This window comes from Homo sapiens, chromosome 19 (genome assembly GCF_000001405.40).
Source record: "Homo sapiens chromosome 19, GRCh38.p14 Primary Assembly".
In the NCBI taxonomy this organism is placed as follows: Eukaryota; Metazoa; Chordata; class Mammalia; order Primates; family Hominidae; genus Homo; species Homo sapiens.
In genome coordinates, this window is record NC_000019.10 from 31923222 (window position 1) to 31935907 (window position 12686).

Consider the following 12686-nt stretch of genomic DNA (forward strand, 5'->3'; position numbering starts at 1 on the left):
TTGCTTTTGTCATATTTATTTTTTTAAAAACTTTTCAGATACTTTTTATTCTATCATATTCTGACATTCTCCTTCCAAATCCCTCTCCTCTATCCCCTACAATAAACCACTTGCCTACTTCAACTGCTGCATGGCTGTCATCCAGGGACCTCAGACCAGTGTCTCCCTGTTTCCTAGATAGATATATATCTTTCTCTTCTTGATTTAGTTCCTCATAGTCCTAGAGACATATCCATACCCCTTTTTAAGGAGGGGCTTGCTTAAACATTACAACATCACGAGAAAGCTACAAGCCAATTTTCCTCAAAAACGTGATAATGCTTTAACAAATACAATCTAGTAATATATACATATATATATACATATATATATACACACACATATATATTTGTGTGTATACATATTTGTATGCATGGGAATATATACATATTTTGTATATATATATGTATGTGTGTATATATAGATACACTATATATATACACACACACTATATATATATGTATGTATATATATATATATAAAATGGGATTTATCCTAGAAATTCAGGATTGCTTAATTGTCAAAAATCCATGTATTTCACAGTGTTAACAAATTAAATAAGAAAAATCATGATCTCAATAGATGCACAAAACAACAAATTCTAACACCTATTCTTGGTAAAAAATAAACAAAACAACAACAACAACAATAAAAATCTCTTAGCAAACAAGAACAGAAGGGAGCTTTCTCAACCTCTGAATTGTGAAATACTTAATGGCAAAACACTGAACATTTTTCTGCTAGGATAAATTAAAAGGCAAGGGCATCAAATATCACCACATGTATGATAAACACTGGTCTAGACAGTAAGACACTGCAAGAAAAGAAAAATAGTCATACTAGTGAAAAGGAAGAAACATAATTGTCTTTATTTGCAGAGAATATGATTATCTGTGTATAAATATTAAAGACTCTACCAAAACAAGCTAGAACTAATATGTGAATCCTTTTGCCAGTGGTGGGTCTTGCTTCCACGTTGATGGCTACTGACTGATCAGGGTGGTGGATGCTGAAGGTTGGGGTAGTTGTGGCGATTTCTTAAAATAAGACAACAGTTAAGTTTGTCACATCGATTGACTTTTTCTTACACAAAAGATTTATCTGTAGCATGTGATACTGTTTTATAGCATTTATCTACAGTAGAACTTCTTTCAAAATTAGAGTAAATACTCTCAAACCCTGCCACTTGTTTCTCAACTAAGTTTATGCACTATTCTAAATACTTTGTTGTCATTTCAACAATATTCACAGCATTTTCACCAGGAATAGATTCCATCTCAAGAAACCACTGTCATAGCTCAACCGTAAGGAAGCAATTCTTCATCCATTCAGTTCTGAGCATGAGATTGCAACCAATTCAGTCCCATCTTCAGGCTCCACTTCTAATCTTAGTCCTCTTGCTAGCTCCACCACATCTGCAGTTACTTTCCCCACTGAAGTCTTGAACCCCTCAAAGTCAACTTTTTCCAAACTCCTATTATTGTTCATTTTTTTACTTCCTCCCATGAATTACAAATGTTCTTAATGGCATCTAGGTAGGTGAATCCTTTCCAGAAGGTTTTCAATTTATGTTGCCCAGATCCATCAGAGGAATTACTGTTGATGGCAGCTATTGCCTTACAAAATGTATTTCTTAAATAATAAGACTTGAAAGTTAAAATTACACCTTGATTCATGGGCTGCAGCACTGATGTTGCGTTAAACAGGCTGGAAAACAACATTAATTTCTTTGTACATCTCCATCAGAGTTCTCAGGTGAACTAGTGCTTTGTCAATGAGGAGTAATATTTTGAAAACAAAAAAATCTTTTTTCTGAGTAGTAGGTCTCAACAATGGGTTTAAAATATTCAGTAAACCAGGCTGTAAATGGGTGAGTTGTCGATCATATTTTGTTTTTCCATTTCTAGAGCACAAGCAGAATAGGTTTAGCATAATTCTTAAGGGTCCTAGAATTTTCCGAATAGCTGGTGAGCCGTGGTTTTAACTTAGTGTCACCAGTTGAATTAGCCCCTAATGATAGGGTTAGTCTGCCCTTGAAGCTTTGAAGCCAGGCATTGACTTCTCTTCTCCAGCAATGAAAGTCTTAGGTGGCTTATTTTCCCAATAGAAGTCTGTTTTGTCTGCATTTAAAATCTGTGGTTTAATGTTGCCATCTTCATCAATAATCTTAGCTAAATCTTCTGGGTAACTTGCTACAACTTCTTCATCAGCACGTGCTGCTTCACCTTGTACTTTTATGTTATAGAGATGGTTTCTTTCCTTAAGCCTCATGAACCAACCTCTGCTAGCTTCCAACTTTTCTGCAACTTCTTTGTCTCTCTCAGCCTTCATAGTGTTAAAGAGAGTTAGGGGATTGCTCTGGATTAGGCTTTGACTTAAGGGAATGTTGTGGCTGGTTTGATCTTCTTACCTGACCACTAAAACTTTCTCCATATCAGCAATAAGTCTGTTTAGCTTTCTTATCATTCACATGTTCACTGGAGTAACACTTTTAATTTCCTTCAAAAACTTCTTCTTTGCATTCACAAATTGGCTTTCTAGTGTAAGAGGCCTAGGTTTCAGCCTATCTAGCTCTGCTTTTTGTCTGTCTTCCTCACTGAGCTTAATCATTTCTAGCTTTTTATTTAAAATGAGAGATGCACAACTCTTCCTTTCACTTGAACACTTAGGGGCCATTGTAGGGTAATTAATTGTCCTAATTTCAATATTGCTGTGTCTCAGGAAATATCTAAGCCCAAGGAAAGGGAGAGAGAAGGGGAAATGGCTAGCCAATGGAGCAGCCAGAACACATACAACATTTATGGGCTAAATTCATTGTCATATATGGGTGCAGTTCATGGTGACCTAGAACAATTACAATAATAATATCAAAGATATAATAATAATGAAAAAGTTTGGAATATTGCAAAAATTACCAAAATGTGACACCAAAACCTGAAGTGAGCACATGCTATTAGAAAAATGGTACTGATAGACTTACTCAACACAGGGTTGGCACAAATCTTCAATTTGTAAAAAACACAGTATCTCCAAAGGACAATAAACAAAGCACAATAAAATCAGGTATGCCTGCACAATAGCCTCAGAAATAGAAACTGCTGGGGAATAAATTTAACAAGGTAGGTGCAAGGCCTATAAACTGAAAACTACACAGTATGGCTCTAAGAAAGTAAACAAAAGCTCAACACATGGAGAGAGATGACATATCCATGGATCAGAAGATTTACTAGTATTAAATTGTCAGTTATCTTCAAATCAACCTATAGATTCATTGCAATGCTAATCAAAATCCCAACAGCAGTTTTGTTGAAATTGGCAAGCATACACATATGTGTGTGTGTGATATATATATATATATATATATACACACATATATATATATATATATATATATATACACACATATATATATATACATATATATATCTTCCCCCTGGCTATATATATATGTGTGTGTGTATATGTGCATACATATATATATATACATATACATATATATATGTATATATATATACGTGTGTGTATATATATATATATATATATATATATATATATATATAGCCAGGCACAGTGGCTCATGCCTGTAATCCCAGCACTTTGGGAGACTGAGGGGGGGAGATCATGAGGTCAGGAGTTCAAGACCAGCCTGACTAACATGGAGAAACCCCATCTCTACTAAAAATACAAAAATCAGCTGGGCGTGGTGGTTCACGCCTGTAATCCCAGCTACTTGGGAGGCTGAGGCAGGAGAATCACTTAAACCAAGGAGGCAGAGGTTGCGATGAGTGGAGATCACACCCCTGCACTCCAGCCTGGGCAACAAGAGCAAAACTCATCTCAAAAAAATAAAAGCTATATATATATATATATATATATAATATATATATATATATAATGTACATGTCTACATGTGTATTTACTTATATGGAAACGCAAAGATCCAGATTAGCTAAAGAAATTTGTAAAAGAACAAAGTTAAATAACTCATATTACCTGATTTCAAGCTTACTATAAACCTGCAGTAGTGAAGACAGTGTGCATTAGTTAAAGGACAGACTTACTGCTTAACGGAATGAAATAAAGAGGTCAGAAATACACCCGCTCAAACATGGTCAACTGATTTTTAACAAAAGTACTAAGAAAATCCAGTAAGGAAAGGATGGTCTTTTTAAAAAATGTGCTGGAAAAATTGAACATCCATGTGCAATAAATAAAAAAAGGAACTTGACATCACACCAGACACAAGCATTAACTCAAACTAAATTGTAGACCTAAATGTAGGAACTGATTGTGTATATTCTGGAATAAAATATAAAAGAAAGTTATTGTGACCTTAGATTAAGCAAAGATTTCTTAGATACACGAAAAGAAAGACCCCCAAAAAATGATCAATTGTATTTTATTATAATTAAAGACTTTTATACTTCATAAGGCACCATTATGACAATGAAAAAGCAAGCCAGAACTGGGGGAAAATTTTCACAAAACAGTATCTCATAAAAGACTTGTAACCAGGATATATAAAGAACTCATACAGTGCAATAAAAAATAAAAATTAGCAAAATTTTTTAATTGTCATTTCACAAAAGAATGTTTAAAGATGGCAAATCAGCATAAGAAAAAATGTGCAACATCATTAGACATTAGGGAAATGAAAATTAAAATCAAAGTGAGATACCATCATACACCTATTAGAATGGTGTAAAAAATGCCAAGTGCCCAGCCAGAATGGCCATTATTATAAAGTCAAAAACAAATAAATGTTGGTGCGGAGGCTGTGGAAAGGGAACATTTATATACTGTTGGTGGGAATGTAAGTTAGTACAACCTTTATGAAAAACAGTATGAAGATTTCTCAAAGAACTAAAAGTAGATCTACCATTTGATCCAGTAATCCCACTACTGGGCATGTACCCCAAGGAAAAGAAGTCACTGTATCAAAAAGACACCTGGAGGCATTTTTGTTGCTGCACAATTCACAACTGAAAAGACATACAATCAACCTAAGTGCCCATCAACCAATGAGTGGATAAAGAAAACGTGGTATATACACATCATGGAATACTACTCAGCCATAAAAGGGAATGAAATAATGTATTTAGCAGCAACTTGGATGAAACAGGAGGCCATTATCCTAACTGAAATAACTCAGGAACAACAACAACAAAAAAAAAAAAAAATATTGCATGTTCTCACTTATAAGTGGGTGCTAAACTATGGATACCCAAAGGCATACAAAGTTGTATAATGGACATTGGAGACTCAGAAGAGGGGAGGGTCGGAGGGGATGAGAGATGAAAAATTACCTATTTAGTACAATGTCCACTATTTAGGTAATGGGCACACTAAAAGCCCAGACTTCACCACTATACAAATCATCCATGTAACCAAAACCTCTTGTATTCCTGAAACTATGGAAATAAGAAAAAATTGAATGTCAAATACTGCCCAAAATGTAAAGCAACTGGAATCCTCATCCTTTACTGATGAGAATACAAAGTGGAAAAGCCACTTTGGAAAAGAGTATGATAGTTTCTTATAAAATTAAACATATGCTTCTATGCAGTGCAGCCATTTCACGCCTAGATATTTACTTAAACGCAAAGGAACATTCATTCACACAAAGACTAGTATACAGATGATCAGGGCATAATATCTCAAAATTGGAAGCAACCCAAACACGCCTCTTCCAGTGATAGAAAAGCGCATTCTCCTATGGTCTTACAATAGAATACTACACAGCAAGAAAAAGGAATGAATTACTCATCCACTAAACAATATGGATGAATCTCAAAAGTGTTACACCAAGGGAAAGAAGCCCCAGAAGACAATATTTGCCATGATTCCATTTCTATGAAATTCTCAGAACAAAAACCAGTAGAAGAAACCTTTTTGGAGTAATGGAACTGTTCTGTGTCATAATCAAGCATGCGTCAAAACTCATCAAATTCCAAGATTAAATATGGAAACTTTGATTCTATGTAAATCTTACTTCCATAAAGCTGATTGATTAAGAGGGTGCTTAGCAGATCAGCTTTCTGAGTCTTCACTGAGTCTTTGCCCTTGGACCAAATTCCACTTTTGAGTGATGGCTAAACTACGCATGGGATTTTCGGTCCCACTATTTCTTCTCCTCCAAATGTCGAAAGCATTGTCTTCTAGCATCCAATTGTTACTTTTGAAAACTCAAATCACAGTCTGATTCTCATGAGGTGACTTTTTTCTCTTGTTTTAATTTTTATGACAATGATGTTAACAAACACTTACTGAGAGCTGCAGTGTTCCCAGGCCTGTTCTCCACACCCTACTCCCAGCGCCTTGGGATTGCTGCATGATAAATCCAGCCATAACGTCTTTTTCATTGCTGTTCTGAGAACTCAGAGAACTTCTCCAATATAAAGACTACTATCCTTTGGGGGCGGTTTCTTCTATTGTTTCCTGACCATTATTTTCTTTCTCAGCATCTTCTGTTTTCTGCTGCTAGTACATCCAATAATAGGCATTAGAGCTCTTGGGATTGATCCTTTATTTCTCATATCTCTCATCTTATAATTTCTCCTCTTTCCAGACTTTTTATTGCTTCTTTTATTTTGGCAATCATTATTTTAATCTCTAAGACATTTTCTGTTTTCTGAGTGATCCTTCTCCCTAGGCTACTATTCTTGTTCTTGAATGTAACCTCTTCTTGAAAGACATTGAATGTGCTTTCAGAACATTTGTTTTATCTTGATCTTACATTGGCCTTTCTCTTTTACCTGCTACACAGACACACACACACACACACACACACACACACACACACATCTCTGATGATCCTTGGTTGTCTACTCATAGATAAGAAGGGTGAGGTAGGTGGGTGAGCTTCCTGCAAGGCAAGTTCTCCAAGTGAAGATTCTGCTAAGAGTTCTTTGGGAGGCAGAGAATGGCAGAAAAAAAATTGAATAACAGGTTTTGGATTAGGTGAGGAGGGGGTTGGAAGAGCGGGTAAGTCAGGGGAGGGTGGGGGGAGGAGACACCTGATACCTACCAAAATGAGGAGTTCAGTCAGTCCTATGCATTGTCATTCAAACAGAAAGACATAGCCTTTTTCAGGAAATATGTTCTGTTTGTTTGTTTGTTTTCTTGCCTGTGTTTTGGTGTAAGGGTCCCCTTTACCTCTCCCTGAAAAATAAATTCCGGCAACCTGAATTCAACTCAGCATGAAGAAACAGGAAAGGACCATCCTTAGGTTGTACAATGACCTCCAACAAATCCACCTACTTCTAGACCAACTCTACTCCCCTGTTCTCTGGCAGCCAGGTTGTCTCTGAGCCAGGAACCTCTCAGGCCACCTACCTTCCACCTCCTTGCCAATCTCTTGCTGCACATTCTGGTCCATGCTATTTTTGAATTATTCATGCACAAGCATACTACTATCCACTCTGATTCAGAATACCTTTTCACCCTGGTTGAAGACCTGCTCCCTACTCTCTTATATTCGACTTTCTATAGGATTTTTTTGTGTATTTGTTTTAACTTTTTTTCTTTTGTTTGTACTTCCATCTGGTCATCACTACCGGATCTAAGAAAAGTGGAGTGTAAACAACTGCACCTTCATTGTTTTAAGGTAAAAGTCCTCTTCACCCTTCATCTTTTTCCCACCAAAACTGCTTCTGCTAATGGAATCCGTATTAATCCGTTTTCACACTGTGGATAAAGACATGCCCAAGACTGGGTAATTTATAAAGAAAAATAAGTTTAATGAACTCACAGTTCCACATGGCTGGGGAGGCCTCACAATCATGGCAGAAGGCAAGTCACATCTTACATGGCAGCAGGAAAGAGAGAATGAAAGCCAAGAGAAAGGGGTTTCCCCTTATAAAACCATCCGATCTTATTCACTACCACAAGAACAGTATGGGGGAAACCGCCCCCACGATTCAATTACCTCCCACTGGGTCTCTCCCACAACACATGGGCATTATGGGAGCTACAATTCAAGATGAGATTTGAGTTGGGACACAGCCAGACCATATCAGAATCTACCACCACAGCCCTGTATAAGTCACTATGATAAAACGTGGTGAAAAGTTCTATGACCATTTTAAAGATATTAAAAACATTTATATATTCCTTATAAGTTCTACACATTTGTCAAGCAAATCAAGATGAATTTTATAATAACAAAGATGAATCACATAATCAATTTTTGTATATTCTTACTTAATACGGTTCTTGCTTTGCCAAAGACTGAATGGTCAGTTTTAATTGTTCACTATAATTTTGGTTTTCCAATAACAACTTTAAAAATTGCTTTATATATTTAGAGGTTGTTAAGTGGGGCATAAAAGTTCATGGTTACTCTAACTTTATAATAAAGTGGATCTTTTATTGAAGTAAGATAACTATAGTCCGTTAAATTTTTTTATTTTACATTTTATTTTCCCAGTACCTAATATTGTCAGTGCATCTTTCTTTGGTTTGTATATTCTTAGCATGCCCTTGTCTATCCCATTATTCTTACTTTTTCTCTGAAAATTTGATTTTGTTGTTTCTCCTAAGTAGTAAAAAAGCCTCTATTTCTATTTGGTTTTGATCGCTGAAAAAAATGTAATACCACTCATTCATTTAACAAACGTTTTTTGAGCAAATGCTGTGTGTTAGATCTCATATTCAAAGGTGGAAAGAACAAAAATTGTCCTAGCCATTATAATTGTTGCACCTTATTTTCTCTACTTAGGTATACAGACGTTTTGGTTTTTAGCTCATTCTTCAAATCCTTACCTTTGGATTAAAAGGAGGAAAAGAAAAATAATAATACATTACTTATTCATTATTTAAAAACAAATTTTCTTAAAAAACTAGAAATACAAGATCTCCTAGAGATCATAAATGACAAAAAGCATGCCCAATTTTATTAATTCTACTAAACATTTTAATGGAGGTTCTAACCAGTGCAATAAAGCAAGAAAAATAAATATAAGACACGTCAATTTTGGGGAAAAATATTACCATTATTTACAGATGACATGACTGTGTACAAAGAAAATCCAAAAGAATCTATATACAATTAGAATTAACATAGAACCTAGGAAAGGTGCTAAATACCAGGAAATACACAAAAATCAATTTTATTTCTATATACCATCAACAAACAGAAAATAAAATATTAAAAATTAATGCTTGCATTAGCATCAAAGTACAAGAAATATCTAGAAATAAATCTAATAAAAATGTGCAAGACATCTTCACTAAAAACTACAAATTATTATTGAGAGAAACCAAAGGGAAATCTAAATAAATGGAAGATTTGATTTGTAAAGACACAAAGCTTCCCAAATTGCCCTATTGCTCTACAAATGTACTACGATCCCCCAAAAATCTAAGCAGAGGTGTGTGTGTGTGTTTATATATAAATTTACAAGATGACTCTTAAATGTTTATGAAAATTCAAAGGGCCTACGATAGCCAAGGAAATTGTAAGGCGAAAAAAATAATCTGCAAAACTCACATTACCACATATTAAGACTTTTAATAAAGCTATAATAAATAGGTCAGTGTGATATTAGTGCAAAGATAGATCAAAAAACCCCAAGTGAAATAGAAGAAAGAGTTCAGAAACAAAACACACCAATATTCAGCCACCTGATTTATGAAAAATCAACTCCATAGTATAGCCTTTTCAATAAATGGTGCTAAGCTAATTGAATATCTAGAAGAGAAAAAAATTTATCTTGACCCCTATCTCACATCATACACAAAAATCAATTCCAGATGGACTGCAGCTCTAAATGTAAAATGTTAAACAGTAAAACTTTAAGAGAAAAACATCTTGCAAATGTGAGTACACACAAATTCTTTTTTTTTTTTTTTTTTTTTTTTTTTTTTGAGATGGAGTTTTGCTGTTGCCAGACTGGAGTGCAGTGGCACGATCTCGGCTCAGTGCAACCTCCGCCTCCCAGGTTCAAGTGATTCTCCTGCCTCAGCCTCCTGAGTAGCTGGGTCTACAGGTGTGCACCACCACATCCAGCTAATTTTTGTATTTTTAGTAGAGACAGGGTTTCACCGTGTTAGCCAGATGGTCTCTATCTCTTGACCTTGTGAAGTACACACAAATTCTTAATAAGGAGACACACACACCACAAATACGACGAATAAGAAGGCCAACCACAGCATGGTAGAAGAAACATACACACACACATATACACACACACACATCTCCAGCAAAGGTCTTTTATCGAAAAGGTACTAGTTAATTTGAAAAAAATATTTTTTAAATAGATAAATGGTCCGAAGACATGAACAGATAGTTCACAAAAAGACTTCTAACTGACCAATAAACACATAAAAAGGCATTTAATACTAGTCAGGGAAATGTAAAATGTCATCAGGGAAGTGTAAATTAAAATTAAAATACAATGCTCTAATCATCACAGTGGCTAAAATTGAAAGAATAGAAAATGCTGATGTATATTGATGAACTGGAACTCTCATGCACCCTTCTTGATGGTGAAAATTGCAATATTTTGGAAAAGTATTTGGCAGTATCTACTGAACCTGACCATCTGTGTATCTTTGCCTGAGCCATTCTACTCCTAAGTGCATATGCAACCAAAATGCACAGATATTTTTAACAAAAAAAAGTATTAGTAGATCCATGGCAGTGCCATTCATATTAATCAAAAACTGGAAACTCCTGAAATGCCATCAACAGTCGAATGGATAAGGAAATTGTGATGCATCATACAATGGGGTGCCCTCCAGCAGAGAAAACAGAAAATCGACAACTGCCTTCTCCAAAGAAATCTTACAAACATAATGTTGAGGGATAGAATCTGGAAGAATAAATGCATACTCTATGACTCAAAATTATTTTTAACAAGAGTCTGGATAGTGATTACCCTTGGCGGGGGCAGAAACTTCCTTCTTGGGAAGGAAGCAAGAAGTACCCTCTAGGTTTTAGTCATATTCTTCCTATTGATCTACAGTGCTTATTACACAGCTGAGTTCATTGTGTGCAAATTCATTGAGCTGATCGTACAGTCCTTTTCTGTGTGTGTGTTATACTTTCATAAAGTTAAACAGAAATAAAAGACAACTTACCTTTATTTTTTTATTTATTTATTTTTATTTATTTATTTATTTATGAGACAGAGTCTCACTCTGTCACCCAGGTTGGAGTGCAGTGGCACCATCTCAGCTCACTGCAACCTCTGCCTCCCAGGTTCAAGCGATTTTTCTGCCTCAGCCTCCCGAGTAGAGGGGACTACAGGCAAGTGCCACCATGCCCGGCTAATTTTTGTATTTTTGGTAGAGACAGGTTTTCACCATGTTGGCCAGGCTGGTCTCCAACTCTTGACCTCAGGTGATCTGCCTGCCTCGGCCTCCCAAAATGCTGGGATTACAGAAATGAGCCACCGCGCCTGGCCAACTTACCTTTATTTTTATAATTGTTGGTTCTACATGAACTGAACACAGGAGATACTATGTTTAGATCATCTTTGTAAAATGAGAATATGAATATTGTTCTTCTCCACCCTTTTTAGCTTTCTTCATTAGAAATATTTAAGCCCAAACTATTGTCATTTTTAGCAATTGTTATTTTATGTATTGCGCATTATTTTGCATTTTGTGTAATAGCCACGTTGACCCCAATTATATAGACTTAAACATTTAGCTGGATTTCTGTTCTTATTTTAGACTTTTTGTAGCTCATACTCTCTATTCCTGACTTACAGATTTTGATTCACCTCCCATTTAATCGGGAAACATCTTTCGAGCGGCTGTTATAGAAAGAATAGCTGATTCATGATTTTTGTCATATTTGATAGGATTGGTCTTTCTTCTACCTCCTTATTTAACACTTGTTTTCTGCTTATTACTTGTGGGTTTGTTTTTTGTTTGTTGGTTGGCTGGTTGGTTTTGAGACAGAGCCTCGCTCTGTGGCCTAGGCTGGAGTGCAGTGGCACAATCTCTGCTCACTGCAAGCTCCGCCTCCTGCGTTCACGCCATTCTCCTGCCTCAGCCTCCCGAATAGCTGGGACTACAGGCGCCCGCCACCACTCCTGGCTAATTTTTTGTATTTTTAGTAGAGACGGGGTTTCACCATGTTAGCCAGGATGGTTCCGATCTCCTGACCTCGTGATGCACCCGCCTCGGCCTCCTAAAGGGCTGGGATTACAGGAGTGAGCCACAGTGCCCAGCACTTGTGGGTATTTTTTTAAACTTTTGTTTGTGGACCTAGTTTCGTTTGCTCTTTTCAAAATAATTAGTAATATGGAAATTAAGCATCTTATTACTATACTCACATGGTTGGACTAAAATTTTGAGAAAATATATTTTTTCCTACTTATCAACATTGAAAATGTACAATATCTCTCTACTCACCCTTATGTAAAATGATAAATTCTGTGAACGTCTTATGTAAAATGATAATTCTGTGTACCCTCTTAATACCATACACTCTGTATTCTCAATCTTAGTTGATATATATGGAATTTAAATATTTCCACTAAATAACTTATTTTTCGCCTTTGCCATAAACTCCATAGTCATATTTAACACAATTATCCTGAATAAATATTGTTTCCTTTTTAGTGCTTTGTGCCATTTCATTTTCACTACATCTTCCCATTTCTTGAGTTCTGTATTATTTATATGCCCTTCAT

The 12686-nt window shown here is 35.7% G+C and overlaps 1 long non-coding RNA gene across 24 annotated transcripts in view; it reads right to left on the minus strand.

Annotated features, from left to right (window-relative positions):
• The window catches only part of LINC01837 (long intergenic non-protein coding RNA 1837), a 234720-nt gene that overhangs the window by 85842 nt on the left and 136192 nt on the right, over positions 1-12686 (minus strand). The window contains exon 9 of one of the 24 annotated variants that reach the window (XR_001753912.2): positions 7631-7725. The exons of the other annotated variants lie outside the window; for them this stretch is intronic. This is a non-coding gene — a long non-coding RNA (long intergenic non-protein coding RNA 1837). The remainder of the gene's footprint in view (positions 1-7630; positions 7726-12686) is intronic. 24 annotated transcript variants of the gene reach the window in all.